General features: G+C 46.1%; 1 protein-coding gene across 2 annotated transcripts in view, besides 2 other annotated features; it reads right to left on the bottom strand.

The window, feature by feature from the left end:
- EFR3B (EFR3 homolog B) overlaps positions 1-17,816 on the bottom strand; it is a 117,060-nt gene that overhangs the window by 50,081 nt on the left and 49,163 nt on the right. For both annotated transcript variants that reach the window (NM_014971.2, NM_001319099.2), the window contains exons 2-4: positions 17,654-17,730; positions 15,925-16,052; positions 5,268-5,418 (exon numbers count right to left, since the gene is read on the bottom strand). In NM_014971.2, coding sequence (NP_055786.1) covers positions 5,268-5,418; positions 15,925-16,052; positions 17,654-17,730 — 356 coding nt within the window. The remainder of the gene's footprint in view (positions 1-5,267; positions 5,419-15,924; positions 16,053-17,653; positions 17,731-17,816) is intronic.
- Positions 3,041-3,335: a silencer, noted in NCBI's record as "tiled region #3202; K562 Repressive non-DNase unmatched - State 21:Repr, and HepG2 Repressive DNase matched - State 8:EnhW". NCBI's record gives its function as "represses a minimal TATA promoter and a strong SV40 promoter by Sharpr-MPRA in K562 cells, with weak repression in HepG2 cells {active_cell/tissue: HepG2 | K562}" and the evidence as "EXISTENCE:reporter gene assay evidence [ECO:0000049][PMID:27701403]".
- Positions 11,173-11,350: a silencer, noted in NCBI's record as "fragment chr2:25320574-25320751 (GRCh37/hg19 assembly coordinates)". NCBI's record gives its function as "represses an EF-1alpha promoter that drives an FKBP-Casp9 reporter gene in an ReSE screen in K562 erythroleukemia cells {active_cell/tissue: K562}" and the evidence as "EXISTENCE:reporter gene assay evidence [ECO:0000049][PMID:32094911]".

The following is a 17,816-nucleotide window of genomic DNA, read 5'->3' as shown; positions in this document are numbered from 1 at the left end:
TTGGTGCATACAAGTTTTAATTTTAATTTAATTTTATTTTTTATTTTTTTTGAGACAGTCTTACTTTGTCATCCAGGCTGGAGTGCAGTGGAGCGATCTCGGCTCACTGCAACCTTCGCCTCCTGGGTTCAAGCAATTCTCCCACCTCAGCCTCCCAAGTAGCTGGGATTACAGCTCCCAAGTAGCACCACCACACCCCGGCTGAATTTTGTATTTTTAGTAGAGATGGGGTTTCATAATGTTGGCCAGGCTGGTCTGGAACTCCTGACCTCAAGCGATCCACCCACCTCGGCCTCCCAAAGTGCTGGGATTATAAGAATAAGCCACTGTGCCCAGACAAAGTTTTAAATTTTGACGAAGTCCAATTTATCTATGTTGTTTCTATAATTGCTTTTGCTTTTGATATCATATCTAAGAATCCATTGCCAAGTCCAAGATCATAAAGACTTATCCCTATAGTTTCTTCTAAGAGTCTTATAGTTTTAGCTCTTACATTTAGGGCTTTGATCTATTTTGAGTTAATTTTTGTGTGTGGTGTGAAATAGAAGTGAAAGTATAAACTTTCAATCTATGAATCTTCATAATATTTTACCGTTTGTATACACTAGGCTAATATATTAGATTGTTTATGTAGAGGATCTTGGCATCATCAGATTTAATATTTTTAGTTTATCATTAGTAAGTGCCCTTAAAAAATCAGGACATGTGGTGATTGACACTGTCCTCAAGACATGCATCTGGACCCAAGACATGCATCTGGACCCATCATGCAATGAGGCAGGTGTGCAGAAGTGAATCCCCAGTGAGTAAGGAGCTTAGCTGGCCCTGACTCCCCCACCTTCTCCTGGTGTTTCCAGTCCCTCATCATGATCCAAAGCCCAGGTATTCTCATTAAGGGCTGGAAAGCATCACTTAAATTTTCACTGGGCACGGTGGCTCACACCTGTAATCCCAGCACTTTGGGAGGGCGAGGCAGGTGGATCACTTGAGGTCAAGAGTTTGAGAAGAGCCTGGCCAACATGGTGAAACCCCATCCCTACTAAAAATACAAAAACTAGCCAGGCATGGTGGTGCACGCCTGTAATCCCAGCTATTCGGGAGGCTGAGGCCTTGAACCTGGGAGGCGGAGGTTGCAGCGAGCCAAGATGGCACCACTGCACTCCAGACTGGGCAACAGAGGGAGACCCCATCTCAAAAATAAAAATAAAATAAAAAATGAAGAACAAGAAGTAAAAAAAAAAAAAAGCTCACTTAAATTTTTAAAGTTGTACTTTACTGCATGTACTGTACAGGAGTGGTATTAGCTAATTTGGATTTTGTGACAAGTCTCTGGACAACTTCATCCTTGGGGTAATCAAGCACAAGCTGTATGAATATCTATATGGAATGAGGGAAGCAAGGGAGGGATATGGAGAGGGAGAGAAGAAAGAAAGAATAAAAGAAGGAAAGGAGGGAAGGAATCCTACACAGGCTTAAGACTAGAACGGGTCAGTAGTTCCCAGACCTAAATGGCATCACATGGGAAGCAAAAATATAGAGACTCCCAGGTCTCCTCTCCAGAGATGCGGGCCTGGTTGTCTGGTTGAGCCCTGGGAATTGGTAGGTTTCCAAAGCTCATTGGTCTGAGTTGGGGACCTTGAAGGGGGTATGGTTTCTGAAGAGACGTTCTGCAGAGGGGAGATTTGTGCTATGCCAATTCAGGGAGCAAAACCAGGTCTGAGGGAAAAGCTACAGGGAGGCAGAGTGGGCTCAGGGTGAGGCTTTTTCTTGACTTCTCACCCACAAGGCCGGGGGTTGCCTTGTGATAGACTAAGTCTGGTCTTGGGGGCTATCTGCACAGAGGCTGGGTGCCACACTTTGGAATCAAGGGCCCAATGAGGGGCTTCTGACCTTGCCACCCCCCAGATTCTAGGGAGAATATTAATAGATGCACAGGGGCCGAAAGAATCACTGTCTAAAGCCAGCGCTCTAGCTGTGTGAGCACAGACAAATCATCTCGCTTCTTGGCGTCCCATCTCTACACTGAGAAATCCAACAAAATGAGGGGTTACAATGAGCTTGATTCATTTTGCTTTCTCTTCCTTTTTCTCCTTCCCTTTCTTTTGATTTCCTGGCAGCAAAACCTTTTATCCAAATAAAATGCTGCAAACTTCCATACAAACAATGGAAAGGACCGGGCGTGGTAGCTCACACCTGTAATCTCAGCACTTTGGGAGGCCAAGGCAGGTGGATCACTTGAGGTCAGGAGTTCGAGACCAGCCTGGCCAACACAGTGAAACCCTGTCTCTACCAAAAATACAAAAAATTAACAGGGCCAGACACTGTAGCTCATGCCTGTAATCCCAGCACTTTGGGAGGCCGAGGCAGGCGGATCACTTGACATCAGGAGTTCGAGACCAGCCTGACCAACATGGTGAAACCCTGTCTCCCTTAGTTGGGTGTGGTGGCAGGCGCCTATAATCCCAGTTACTCGGGAGGCTTTGGCAGGAGAATCACTTGAACCTGGGAGGTGGAGGTTGCAGTGAGCCAAGATTGTGCCACTGCATTCCAGCCTGGGCAACAGAGTGAGACTCCATCTCAAAAAAAAAAAAAAAAAAATTAGCTGGGCATGGTGGCACACACCTCTAATCCTAGCTACTGGAGAGGCTGAAGTAGAAGAATCACTTGAACCTCGGAGGCGGAGGTTGCAGTGAGCCGAGATCATGCCAGTGCACTCCATCCGGGGTGACACAGCGAGGCTCTGCCTCAAAAAAAAAAAACTCCAGAGGTGGCTACTGGATGAAGTAGCAGTAAAGGGCCTAGAGACTTCTATTCCTCCTCTCCTAGGCCCCCTTTCCCCTCACAAAGCCCTGAATCCCTGTGAAGACCTGTTTGGAACTCCCGGGCTAGACTCTAAGATAATGTCATGCACTAGCATGCTAGCAGGTCTAAAACGATGAGGAGCAAAAGGACACTCTTCTCAGGAAGGCTCAAGAAGGTCTGGGCACAGAGAGCTGGAAAGAGCATCAGACAGGGACAGCAAGAGAAAAGGCTGCCTTCCAAGCTGCACTCTGGAGCTACTGCAAATATTTGACTTAACTCACTGACAATAGCTTGTCCTTATATCATCTTCATTGTCTGCAGCATAGCAATCATTAGTCAGCTTGCTCTCTGGCTGATGCGATGATTCACTGCGATGGGGAATCTGCAGGACACTGAATTTTTCATGCTGTAGCTGACAGAACACCTACCCTGGGCTAGGATTTCCTGTGGGGGAAGCTAGAGGTGGTGGCCACCTGCTTCCAGTGGCCCCCAGGGATGCATGGTGGCTGGTTCATTTTCCATTCAGATGTTCTCTTCTAGGCTGTAGTTCTCTTAAACAGGACAACTAAAACAGTATCTGAAGCTGTTGCCAGAGCAACTTGACAAAGGACTTTCCCCTCAGTTAGTATATGTGTAATGTGTCAAAGGCAGCTGGCTCCCAGGGAGAGGAAAGAGAAGGGAATCTGTATAGGTTGCTACTCTTGGTCCTTGGAAGGAAAGTTGGAAGACTCTCTTCTGGTTAAATCAACTTATGTAGAACAGGAAAGCAGCTCTGACCCATGCCATAAAAATTCAGATTGAGGGCTGGGCGTGGTGGCTCACGCCTGTAATTCCAGCACTTTGGGAGGCTGAGGCGGGTGAATCACTTGAGCCCAGGAGTTTAAGACCAGCCTGGACAACATGGTGAAACCCCGTCTCTTCTAAAAACAAATATTAGCCAGGTGTGGTGGTGTATGCCTATAATCCCAGCTACTTGGGAGGCTGAAGCAAGAGAATTACTTGAACCCAGGAGGCGGAGGTTGCAGTGAGCCGAGATTGTGCCACTGCACTCCAGCCTAGGTGACAGAGCGAGGCTCAGTCTAAAAAAAATAATAAAATAAAATAATAAAAATTCAGGTTGGAAGGCTAAGGGGCAAACCTTAAACTTTTGTGATACCTGCAGATAGATAAAAGCTTCACTTAAGATCTGTAAAATAGTTGTATCTAAGCTGCATGAAGACCTGGAGCTTAAAGTATGTCCAAAAGGGGAAGGAATGGGAGAGACAGCAAGATATTAAAGACAACCAGGGCGTGGGAGTATGTTTAAATGCACACAAGAAGCAGGGAGTTTCTGACATATCTGATAGCTCTTCTCTAACAAAATCATACTCTCCCACGACCGCAGCCATTTGCACTGAGACCAGCATTAGCTTGGAGGACTAACAGAGACCAAGCTGAACCTGCTCATGGTACTGATGAAAAGACTGAGGCCCATAAAAGGTAACCTGCTCAACGCTTCACAGCGAGGGAAGGGCAGAACTGAGCCAGAAGCCCCGTGTCCTGCTTCCCCGTGGTCTTTCCACTGATCTGGTACCTTTGTCCTGGGGACATCACTTTACTCTATCTTTGAAAGGGGCATAACCTGGACAGCTTTCAAGATATGCCCCCATAGCGTGCTGAGTGGTGAGAGCCCTGGGTTCTTCCTGCCCTCAAAAGAAAGCCTCTGTTTCCATCGATTTTTATATCTATTGGGGGCCCCACTTAAAATTATTTGAGGGGAAAAATTCTATTAGTAAAAACAGTTTGGAGATCATCAATCTAACGCTAAACACATTAGATGGTGTTAATGGTTGCACAACTTTGTGAATACACTGAAACCACATTTTTTGTTGTTGTTTGTTTGTTTTTTGAGATGGAGTCTCTGTCACCCAGGTTGGAGTGCAGTGGCATGATCTCGACTCACCGCAACCTCTGCTTCCTGGGTTCAAGTGATTTTCCTGCCTCAGCCTCCCAAGTAGCTGGGATCGGATTACAGGTGTGTGCCATGACATCCGGCTAATTTTTGTTTTTGTTTTTTTTTGTATTTTTAGTAGAGATGGGGTTTTGCCATGTTGGCCAGGCTGGTCTCAAACTCCTTACCTCAAGTGATCCACCTGCCTTGGTCTCCCAAAGTGCTGGTATTACAAGTGTGAGCCACTGTGCCTGGCCACCACGGGGTTTAAAATGGGATGCTTGAAAGTGGTGAATTTTATTTTTAAAAATTATTTTATTATATATCTATATAAATTATATATTTGTTTAAATTAAAAAATGAAAGGGCCCTTTGTTCACACAAAGGGAGACCCTAAAACAAGCAGTGTGTCACACTTAGGGTTGGGAACCAAGAAGGAACAGAACATGACAGTGCCGACCCCGAGGTCTCCCTCTCCCCTGCCACCCCCCAGGATGCGGCTGGGAGACCTGGAGCCCCCTGGGCCGCTCCTTACCGAGTTGGTGCCGAGGATCTGCAGGTTGGGTTTCTCTGACTCCAGCAGCTTGGCCACCATCTTGAGGAAGCTCTCCACGAAGAGGTTGATGCTCTGGCAGTGGCAGGCCATGAGCAGCTGGTCCAAAGCCTCCATAGCAATGCACACGTACCTGGGGAGGGCAGCACATGCCGTCACTGGCCGCGCCCCTGCCACCCCATGGCCCAACCAGGGCATGCAAGGTGTCAGTGTGGTGACCTGGGCAATGCAGCATCCGGGTAATGAGGCTCCCCCACAGGCTGCCAACGTCTGGATAGCCTTTCCAACAAGTGTCTGCTCCAGCCCAGAACTGAGTCAGAATGAATTAGGGCTGGAAGGAAGCCTAGAGACCAACTCATCCAGCCCCTCCTTTTACAGATTAAGAACAGGACGACGGATGAGATAGAGCATTTCATGAGTCAACACAAAGAGCAAGATTGATGCTCACAATAGCAAACTCTAAGTCTAAACTCTATGAGGTCGGGGAATTATCCAATCCAAGTCAAGAAGTATTTATCGAGTGCCCACTGTGGAAAGGCTCTGTCCTAGACAGTGCAGGGGGTGTAAGGATGAAGAAGGCAGTCATTCAACTTAATGAGCTGAGATAAATACATAGATATTCCTTTAAAGAGAAAATAAATCCTACAAGAAAATCATGCATGATGGCCCATGAGGTTTCCAAGGATGGAGAGAGATGGCTCGAGTGGGGAGGAAGTCAAGATCTTTATGAAGAATCTGAGACAGGCCTGAGGACCAGCTTTAAGGAATAGAAAATTTGCAGGTATTGTGTTTGAAAGCCTCAGAAGTTCCATGATAAAGTACTATGCAAGCAATATGGTTGGCAGCATTACTATGTTTGGATGATACTTCTTACTTAGGGAATAAGACAGACAAGATGGACACAGAATAATTTTTTTTTTCCTCCTTATGAGGAATGTTCCCTATGTTAACTAAGTCTTTAAATTACTTAAACAATTCCTCTGAAGTCTAAAGCCTGAGTGAACAACTTCGGAAACTAGGAATACACAACATCCAATAGCAATGAGCCAAGTCCTCTCACTAGATGACTGACAACTAGTATGGTTTGGCTCCGCGTCCCCACCCGAATCTCACCTTGAATTGTAATAATCCCCACGTGTCAAGGGGGGCACCAGGTGGAGAGAATTGAATCATGGGGGCGGTTTTCCCCATACTGTTCTTGTGATAGTGTGTTCTCATGAGATCTGATGGTTTTATAAGGGGCTTCCCCCTTCGCTCAGCTCTCATTCTCTCCCCTGGTGCCATGTGAAGAGGTGACTTTCGCTATGATTGTAAGTTTCCTGAGGTCTCCCCAGCCCTGCAGAACTGTGTGAGTCAATTAAACCTCTTTTCTTTATAAATTACCCAGTCTTGGGTATTTCTTCATAGCAGCATGAGAATGGACTAATATAATGAAATAAAATGTCAACCTGAAGCCTAATAACCTCTATCCTCTATTCACAATTCTACTCTCAGGAGAAGCAAAAAAGAGGGCCATGCCATCTCCTACCTCCAGCTCCTCAACCCCTGAAGATAACAATCTCATTTGTTATTCTTGCTGTTCTCTCCTCTGTGCTAAATATACCCAAGCTCTCCCAAACTAGCCTTTACAGGACAACCCAATTATCTTAGTTGTCTTCTTCAATGCTTCTCATAAATCCCAAGAAAAATGCCAAGAATCAAATTCCTAATGAGAAGGAGAAAGGCACCTCTAAGCTCAAACTCCAAATTTGTTCCAAGAGTATGACATAACTAGTAATGTCTACATCATAAAACATACATCCTTCACTTACAAAGCATTTACATTCTAAAGAAAGAGAGGTTTTGTTTTTTGTTTTTGTTTTGTTTTGTTTTGAACTTCTAACAAGGAAGCTGCTGCAAACCTTTCAGAAATTATTCTGGTTAAAATCTTTACAGTTTCGGAGTTAAGTTTCCCGGGCAGAATGCTAGATGTCTCCCCTAAAATATGTCCCTTTGCCTTTCCCTAGAAATTCAGAATTTTAGCTGTGCATGTGGCTGCTCATTTGGGACTCCATTTCCCAGTCTCTCTTGCTGTGAGGTGAGACCACATGACTAAAACATTGCCATTAAAATGAGGGGAAGTGGCCAGGGCATGGTGGCTCACACCTGGAATCCCAACAGTTTGGGAAGCTGAGGTGGGCAGATTGCTTGAGCCAGGAGTTCAAGACAGCCTGGGCAACATGGCGAGACCCCTTCTTTATGATAAATGCAAAAATTAGCCAGGCATGGTGGTGTATGCCTGTAATCCCAGCTACTCAAAGGCTGAAGTGGGAGGATCGCTTGAGCCTGAGAGGTCGAGGCTGCAGTGAGCCATGATTGAGCCACTGTACTCCAGCCTGGGGGACAGGGTGAGATCTTGTCTCAAAAATAAACAAACATATAAATTAATTAATTAAGAGAAAGTGATGTGAACAACATCAGCATCTGTTGATTATAAGACATGACTGCCCTCTGTGTCCTTTCTCTTTCCCTCTTCCTACCAGCTGGGAAGTGGAAACAACTGGAGACCCAGAGAGGAAAGCCATGTGCTGAAGATCCCTGAATGACCTCATGGAGCAGAGCCCACTGGCCCACTCCAGACTGATGTGAAAGAGAGGAAAAGCACTTCCATATTGCTGGAGCCACTGTCTTTTGAGTTTCTTTATACTCTAAATAGCACAAGCACCTAATAATCAGATTTGGGAGTGCTTTAGAAACCTGATGGCACAAATAAAGGTGAATTCTGAGCAATCCAAAGCAAACCAAGTGACTGACCTCATTGGAAAGGGAAGTTAGAGCTAGAAATGTTTCCTATCCTGCTAGATGGGAGACCATTGCAAGGCTTCATGGACTCAGAGTTTGGACTCATGTGCCCATTGCAGGATGGTGATCCTTCTACTTGTAATGTCAAATCATGTGGAATAGAAAAGTACCTCCTGACACAAAGAAAATACAGGGGAGGCCGGGCGCTGTGGCTCACGCCTGTAATCCCAGCACTTTGGGAGGCCGAGGCGGGCAGATCACGAGGTCAGGAGATTGAGACCATCATGGCTAACACAGTGAAACACCGTCTCTACTAAAAATACCAAAAATTAGCCAGGCGCGGTGGCAGGTGCCTGTAGTTCCAGCTACTCAGGAGGCTGAGGCAGGAGAATGGTGTGAACTCAGGAGGCAGAGCTTGCAGTGAGCCGAGATAGCGCCACTGCACTCCGGCCTGGGCAAAAGAGTGAGACTCCGTCTCAAAAAAAAGAAAATACAGGGGAGGTAAAGTAAGCAGAAAACTGTAAAGCCTAATGGGGTGCCCAGGAATCAGGTCAATGTTCCCTAAGTCAAAATAAAGTAGCAAAAGGCCTCTCTTACAAGATCGCAGCAAAGCTGCCACCACGGGATTTTAAAATGTTAAAGGTGCCTAAAACTCTAAAGTCAGGTTCACATGCCGTAAATGTAATAAAGGATGAATTAAAAGATTCGTTCTTCTTTATGTCTTGACCTAAATCATATCCATCATTGAATGTTAGGCAGATATTTAAAAAAAAATTTTTTTTTTGAGACGGAGTTTTGCTCTTGTTGCTTAGGCTGGAGTGCAATGGCGCAATCTCGGCTCACTACAACCTCTGCCTCCCAGGTTCAAGCGATTCTCCTGCCTTAGCCTCCTAGGTAGCTGGGATTACAGGCGCCCACCACCATGCCTGGCTAATTTTTTGTATTTTTTGTAGAGATGGGGTTTCACCATGTTGACCAGGTTGGTCTTGAACTCCTGACCTCAGGTGACCCACCCACCTCGGCCTCCCAAATTGCTCGGGTTACAGGTGTGAGCCACTGCACCCAGCCTATTTAAAAATTCTTTATTAGCTAGTCTTCATCTTTTTTTTTTTTTTTTTAAACAAAGTTTGGGTGAACAGAAAGCACAGGGAGGATGACTATAGGACAATTTCAGGAGCTCTTTCAAGGCTACAACTCAAGGCTCCATGATACCTCCTGGGACAGCTACCCAGTTTCAGATATTGCACAGTCAGACTGCCTCAGACATGAGCTAGCTTTGCAAATCCAAACATAAAAAAAATTAACAGCAGTCATGACTTCTAAATTTTTTTTAAGACATCAGCTATTTCTTACTTACCTTTGAGCTAACTTCTATACCAAGCAACCAGAAAATTAAACAGCCTTTAAATGCTGAAATTTTCTTTTCCACTTTTATAAAATGTTTATTTCTTTTATCTAGAATAGCCGCGTCAACTTTTATTAAATGATTCTTTAATGATATTAAATAAAAGTATTATCAAATAGTTGTCTCTGGGCCCACCCACATATGGATCAAGGTGTGCTCTATCCACAGAATGTCTTTCAAATACAAAGGCAGCCTTGGCTCTTTGAGCTCCTCTGGTGAATGGGAGCCATGCCTACCATTCCTCCTTGCTCCCAGGACAGCCATTCCTGGCTCTGCAGCCTCGCCCTTCAGAGACCATCACAATCACCATCCAGGAAACCTGCTGTGCCTTGCAGACCCAGTCCCAGCATGTTTCAGGTCCACTGTGTAGAGACTGAATTCTGCAGGGTTTGGGAAGCAGACTGGGCTGGAGCCCTTCCAAAGGGGACAGGCTTTGGCTGCAGAGAGACCTGGACACCTTCAGGCAGCCAAGCATGGCGGGTAGGAAATGAGGGCAGGCAGCATGGGATTCTCTTCCCTTACGAATCATCCCAGCGTCCTTCTGTATGAAGGGATCTGCAGCATTTCACCATTATTACAGTGTTTACATGACGTAAAGGAAGGGGTGGGGTTGGGCAAGAGAAGAAACTCAAGGCCTCGTGAGCCCCAGGGCTTAGATTACTGCTTTTCCTCTTCCTGAAAAAATGCCAGAAATTCCTGATATGGAAAAACCATCCTTTGCAACAGAAAAAAAAAAAAAAAAAAAAAAAAAATTGGCTACTTACCAGGAGTGGAAAGTGGAAAATTTCCATTTTGGTAGAAGGTGAAAATTATGGTAGAAGTGAAACTGAAAAGTAAAGAAGTATAAGGCCCAGTTCTTTGAACACATGATCCTTTGTTCCTCATCTCTGATCCCAATAGTAAGGATGGAATGTTTATAATTATGAACTTGAGCTTTTCAAAGCATCTTACATAATTCGAAGTCAATGGGACCTTGGAAGCCCCGAGTCTAATGCTCTCCATGTTTGTGCTATTTTATTGTAATCTTCTCGAGTGTGTCTAATCTGTTACACACTCAAAAGGAATAGAGCCTGGGATCCCCGAGTTAGAAGATTACTACCAGCAGAGATCTGATCTGGGGCGGGTGTCCTGGAAGAGGTACAAAGTCATAACAGGTCTGAGAATCTGAACTGGCCTAAGAAAGGAGGAGTGGGGAGTAAAGTCTGGGAACCAGGCTTAGTTGGAGAGGAAAGGCAGATACAGGGTCAGGGATTAGGGTCAGCAGGCAGGATGAGGGAGGCAGCTTTAGTAGGGCCAGTCATTTGCACAAGAATCGCTCAAGAGCAGTGGCCTGGACAAAGAACCTCTTGTTCCAGGCAGTTTGAGTGCATTTGGTCAGCCCACTCCTAGACAGAATCTTCTGGGTTTTAGGAGTCCAGAAGTAGGGAGAGAGGGCTGACCTCAGCTCAGGAAGGGAGGGATGACCCTCCTCATCTAGTAGGGGTCTGCGGTATCCCTATCTCAAGGTCAGCCATCCTCCAGTCAGGTTCAGGGTCCTTCTGGTGAATGTGTATCTCTTAGGAGGGCCACTGGGTCAGCTCCAGGGCCAGGGTCCTCAGATTAGAGAAGCTCAACCCTCTGGCATGGCCATCTCCATCCGCCAGGGCTTGGTCCTGGCTGGGTGAGAGCTCCAGGTACTGGGGATCCTGACGGCGTCTTATATGGCATTCTGCACCCATCAATGCTCAGGGGTCACTGTCGACTGAGCGAGTCTTACCCAGCACTGCTGTTCCCTCCCCTGCTCTCCCTTCGTTTCTAGGGGATTTACTCGCATTGGAGTTGAACTGGAAGGGAAATGTAAAGAGAAGGGAAAATAGAAGGACTGCTCGGTTTTTGCTGCTCTGCACATCACTGCCCATCATATTGCATGCCCATGAACGATGCCTTGAAATTCACATCTCATCCTCTCTCTGCCCACATTGGGCTGCCCACCGCCGTCCCCATGCTAAACACCTATGAGCCAGAGTCCACACACAACTGAAATGGGGTGACAATGTGGGGAGGCAGTGGGGCAGATGAGGGTGGTTCTGCCCCTGGGTCCAGCATCCAAGGTTCATGTCCATATGGTCAAACCCCAAATACAGACACCTGCATCACGGCAGGGAGACACAGCCTCTCACCCTGTCTGCATGAGAATATTTTACTCTTCCAAAGCTGCCATCAGTGATGAGGAAGATAATGATGATGTATGTGGCGTTGGGTACGGAAAGACAGGGAGGGCAAAGAGAGAATAAGAGATCAAATCTAACAGATTTTTCTTCTCCAAATGTTTAGGAACAAAGCCCTCAGTGAGGCCTTCAGGTTTTAAATACTTAGAGGCTACAATGGCTATTTTTAACAGAATGGTACTAAATTTTAATTGCAGTTGTAAGGGCAGCAGAATGATTCTAAGTGGCTCTTCTGACTCTAGGACATTTTTTTACTGAGAGAACCATCACTGCAGAGACAGCCAGTGAAATTAGTATTAAATGTTTAATGTTGGAGCTAGCATATTAGTTTTAGGTTCAACCTAGGATCAAGTCATTTTTACTTGCTTGAGTATAATTTACAATATGTCAAGGCCCTTAATATAATCAGCATGCACAGTAGATTTGCTCTTATTCAGGATGTAACCTCATTTTATTATATAAAATGATCACAGAAACATATTGGTTTGGATCCTGCTTTTTACACCAGGGGTGGGTTGATTTAAGATTTGCTGGTGAGGCCTGTGCTTTCTAGACCTCTCCACCCCATCAGCACCATGCACATTTCACTGTAGTTCAAGACCAGCTCCGTCTTCTCCTGCCAGGAGGAAGGGGCCTTGGACGGCAGTGGGGCTGATGGGCAGCTGCAGGGGGAGGCCTATCAAAGAGGTCAAAGTGAGAGAGAACACCAGAAAGACCCACAGAGCCAGCCAGGTGGTCAGCAGTTCATGTGGAGTGGGTCTACGGCAGGTGTGGCGGGGGTGGTGGGCTTGGCTGGGTTACAGGCAGGTTGTGGAAGACCCCAGAAGTCAAGCTGAGGATGCTGGATTTTTTCTCAAAGAGCTAGGAAAGCGCAGCTTGGGTTCTGTGTGTTAAAGATCATACATAGCAGTATTAACCCAGAAGGACCAAAGCAGGAAAGACAGGGAGCAGGGAGACTATGTCCAAGGCTACTGCCATCATCTGAACGAAAAGAGAAGACCCTGGACCAGGAGAAAGGCTAGAGGAGATGAAAGTAGAGGATGGCTATGAAAGATTCCATGGAGGCCAGGCGCGGTGGCTCCCGCCTGTAATCCCAGCATTTTGGGAGGCTGAGGCAGGTGGATCACGAGGTCAGAAGTTCGAGACCAGCCTAACCAACATGGTGAAACACCGTCTCTATTAAAAACACAAAAATTAGCCAGGTGTGGTGGCACGTGCCTGTAGTCCCAGCTATTCAGGAGGCTGAGGCAGGAGAATCGCTTGAACCCAGGAGGCAGAGGTTGCAGTGAGCCAAGATCACACCAATGCACTCCAGCCTGGGCGACAGACTGAGACTCCATCTCAAAAAAAAAAGACTCAGTGGGGAATGGAACCAACAGGACTGAGAACCTCTGCCTGAATCCACCCAACCCTCAGCTCCATGAGCAACGCCACCAGGAATATCTGAGTGTTCTCCTGACATTTGGTCTCTGAATTGTAGCATGATGGTTGGGGAGCAAACACAACGTGCTCTGCAGTTCATGTTTTTTATTGTGGAAGTAACACATCCACATAAAAAATATTTAGGAAAAACGTAGAAAAAATAGATACGAAACAAAACAAAACCAAAAAACCCCAGCCCCACTGTTCATAAAATGAATACTCCTAACATATTGGTACATTCTTTTTTGTTGTTGTTTTTGAGACAGGGTCTCGCTCTGTTGCCCAGGCTGGAGTGCAGTGGCGTGATCTCAGCTCACTGCAACCTCTGCCTCCTGGGTTCAAGCGATTACCCCATCTTAGCCTCCTGAGTAGCTGGGACTATAGGTGCATGCCCCCACACCCAGCTAATTTTTGTATTTTTGATAGAGATGAGGTTTCACCATGTTGACCAGGCTGGTCTTGAATTCCTGACCTCAAGTGATCCACCCGCCTCAGCCTTCCAAAGTGCTGGGATTACAGGCATGAGCCACCGCACCTGGCCAGTATGTTCGTTTTACTGTATTTTCCAGCCATTGAGATTTGTTGTTGTTGTTGATTTTTTAACTTGATTGCAAATACTGTCTACATAATTATGGATTCTGGTTTTCATTTACTTAAAGCATTTTTCAAATTACATGGAAAGTATCTTTATAAACACAATTTTTATTGACTAGATAACATTTTATCAAATGACATACACCATAATTCACTGAAATATTCTCCTCTGACTGGACATTTTACTTCTACTTTTTCATTATTATAAATAACAAGATAACGAACATCTCTGTGTGTGAAGGTAGACTGTATTTAAGATTGATTCCTTGGGGCCTGGCGCAGTAGCTCATGCCTGTAATCCCAACACTTTGGCAGGCTGAGGCGGGAGGATTGCTTGAGCCTGGGAGTTCCAGACCAGGCTGGGCAACATGGTGAAACTCCATTTCTACAAAAAATACAAAAAATAAGCCAGGCATGGTAGCACTTGCCTGTAGTCCCAGTTATATGGGAGGCTGAGGTGGGAGGACGTCTTGAGCCCAGGAGGCTGAGGCTGCAGTGAGCCAAGATCATGCCACTGCACTCCAGTCTGGGTAACACAGCAAGACCTTGTCTTAAAAAAATAATAATAATAAATAAGTAAATAATAAAAAATTTGATTCTTTGGGATCAACAAATAGAAATGGAATTACTGAGTGAAAGGGCATAAGTGTTTTTAAAGCTCTTGACACATTATTTCAAAATTACTTTCTAGAGAGTTTCAACCAATTTGTACTCTTTCTAGAAAAGAATGAAAATGCTTCCCGTTTTGCCATCTATTGGTTAATACTGGAAATTATATTTCCTTTGTGATGAATTTAATAAGTTAGCATCTTAGTATTTCAGTATGCACCTTTGATCACAAGTCTGTTGAGTGTCATCCCACGTGTGTGGCAAGCTCTCTCTCCTCTCCTGTAAGTCGCTTGTTTGTGGCTCTTGCCTCAAACCTCTTAGTGTCTCAGTTTCTCCACTCCACCCACTATTTGGTATGAGCTACTAATATATAAGTTTGAATCCTTTGTCTTAATTTTCGAATATACTTTTTTGTTGTTCGTCTCTTAAACTTTGAGTGTTTCTTTTTTCTTTTTTTTTTTTTTTTTTTGAGACAGTCTCAATCTGTCTCCCAGGCTAGAGTGCAGTGGTGCAAACACAGCTCACTGCAGCCTTGACCTCTTGGGCTCAAGCCATCCTCCCACCTCAGCTTTCTGAGTAGCTGGGACTACAGGTGCATACCACCACGCCCAGCTTATTTTTGTTTATTTTTTGTAGAGATGGGCAGTATGTTGTCCAGGCTGGTTTTGAACTCCTGGGCTCAAGTGATCCTCCCACCTCAGCCTCCTAAAGTGCTGGGATTATAGGTATGAGCCACCGTGCCTGGTCTCAGTGTTTCTATATTGACATCAAAATATTTAAATTTTTCAACAGTTAAGTCTATTGATCAGTCACTTGCTTTAAGATTTCTTCTCTCTTTAAACATAGAAAGCCCTTCTCTTTCAGAAGATTGATAAATATTTCACCTAAGTGTATTTTTAATGGACAAATTGCCCTTAACTCTGTCTTCTTACTAGAATGTAGATGACTCCTCCTTTGTTTTCAAGACAGTAAGTGGGATAAGGCAGGACAGGTTGGATGAGGATGGTGGTGCAATCAAACCTTAATTTTTTTTAAGGCCCCAGACTGTATGAGGGCTTCTGTATGGAAACGCAAGAGAGAATGGATGCTGGAAGAGGTGCTTGTAGGAAGCCAACACCCTTTTCTTCCCAAACCTCAGCAGCAGCATCACACTAGACCCTGCCTTTGGAAGATCACATGGGATATACTCCTTAGCCCCAGTCCCCAGTTTTCTTGGTCTGTTTGATAATCTATTTCTTTTTTTTTTCTTTTTTTGAGACAAAATCTTACTCTGAGAGTCACCCATGTTGGAATGCAGTGGCACAATCATGGTTCCCTGCAGCCTCGACCTTCTGGGCTCAAGTGATCCTTCTGCTTCAGCCTCCCAAGTAGCTGGCACTACAGGTGTGCACCACCACACCTGGCTAATTTTTAAATTTTTTGTAGAGATGGAATCTCACTACATTGCCCAGGTTAGTCTTGAACTTTTGGCCTCAGTGATCCTCCCACCTTGACCTCCCAAAGCGCTGGGATTACAGGCGTGAGCCACTCTGCCTGGCCATCATTTTCTTAAAAGGACCCTATGTTTAGCCTAACAATATAGTTCCTGACAATCTCTCTCCCTCTCTTCCAAACTACTTACCCATATCGATGGCGACCCACGTCACGGATGAGCCTCTCAGAGAGGTAGGCGCCAATACGATCAAGTTTTTCTGGAGCTGAGAGGGCATAGAAGGTCAGCTTCTCCATGTTGGTCTTCACCAGACCATCCTGTAGGAGAAAACAGCTTGTGCTCACTATGGCCACACTATGGCTAGACGAGTTCAAGTCTAGAGAAAAATAATAATTCGACGGAATCAACATTTACAGAGTGTCCTTTATGGATGTGCCGGAGCACATGTGGGTTTCAGAGACAGGCAGATGATTAAAACATAGTTTTAGTTATAGGCTCACGCCTATAATCCCAGCACTTTGGGAGGCTGAGGTGGGCAGATCACGAGTTTGAGACCGGCCTGGCCAACATGGTGAAACACCTGTCTTTACTAAAAATACAAAAATTAGCCAGGCATGGTGGCGAGTGCCTGTAATCCCAGCTACTCAGGAGGCTGAGGCAGGAGAATTGCTTGAACCCGGGGAGCGGAGGTTGCAGTGAGCCAAGATTGCACCATTGCACTCTAGCCTGGGCGACAGAGTGAGACTCCGTCTCGGGGGGAGAAAAAGAATTGTAAGTGATACAAACGTATAAAATGTATATATGTGTGTGCATGTGTATGGATATATATACATGAATGTATACATGTATGTGTGTATGGGTGTGTATATATATACCGTGTGTGTGTGTGTGTGTAAGTGTGTGTGTGTGTGTGTGTAGGAATGGATGATACAGCATCATTAAAAGCCACCCAGGCCGGGTGTGGTGGCTCACGCCTGTAATCCCAGCACTTTGGGAGCCTGAGGTGGGCGGATCACAAGGTCAGGATATCGAGACCATCCTGGCCAACATGGTGAAATCCCGTCTCTGCTAAAAGTACAAAAAATTAGCTGGGCATGGTGGCACGTGCCTGTAATCCCAGCTACTCAGGAGGCTGAGGCAGAAGAATTGCTTAAACCAGGGAGTCAGAGGTTGCAGTGAGCCGAGATCGCGCCACTGCACCCCAGCCTGGCAACAGAGCGAAACTCCGTCTCAAAAAAAAAAAGCCACCCCAAATTAAAGCATGTTGGATAGCCGGCACCAAGACACACACAGGACGAAGGCAGCTCTGCAGCTCTTAGGGAACTCTACAAAGGATGCTCCCATCAAGACAGGCCATTGGTTCCCAGAGAGCAAGTCAAGTACATCAGATCCCAATGTTTCCCAGCCCACGACCCACAAAGCAGCCTGACAGGTGGAGAGGCGGCTTGGAGGCCAGGCCCTGTGTGTGTGCCCCTAGACACCTGGCAGACACCAGAGAGTGGCAGCCAGGGGGAAAGACCTGGGCTCCTGAGCCCAACCCAAGACAGGGGAGTCCTCACACTGACCGGCAGGGAGCTACGATCACTCAAAGAGTTAGCAGCTCCAGAGGCAATCACACAGAGAGACATGCAGGAGAAAGATGTCTCGGTTGGACAGTGATGGCCACAAGCATGCCAAGACGCACTTCCAGCTGCCTTCTGCAGATCCAAATGCCCTCATCCTTCATGTCCCTAGCGGCCTCTCACCACTGCCCATGGCTGTAGCCCAGGTTCCAGTTTCTCTGGGAAGGCTCAGTGCCCAGGGACCCTGAGAGGCCCTGCCTTCCCCACCCGGCAGGAGGCCTGGCTTCCAAGCTGCCCCCGTCAGAGGCCCTGCCTGGACCATGAGAGCCACGATGCCTGCCAGAGACATGACCCACCTCGGGATCCTCAGGGAAGATGTTGTCAACCAGCCTTTTGTACCTGGGGCGTAGGGCACCACAGCAGCCACACACACCTGGAATAAGAATGGGAAAAACTGTGAGCAAAGCCTCCTGGTCGGGCCCAGGAAAGGTTGGAGCCAGGGCCAGGGCAGCCTGTGAG

The sequence above is a fragment of the Homo sapiens genome, chromosome 2 (genome assembly GCF_000001405.40).
Source record: "Homo sapiens chromosome 2, GRCh38.p14 Primary Assembly".
Classification (NCBI taxonomy): Eukaryota; Metazoa; Chordata; class Mammalia; order Primates; family Hominidae; genus Homo; species Homo sapiens.
Note: the sequence above shows the minus strand (reverse complement) of the source record. Positions and strands in the feature narration are given on the sequence as shown.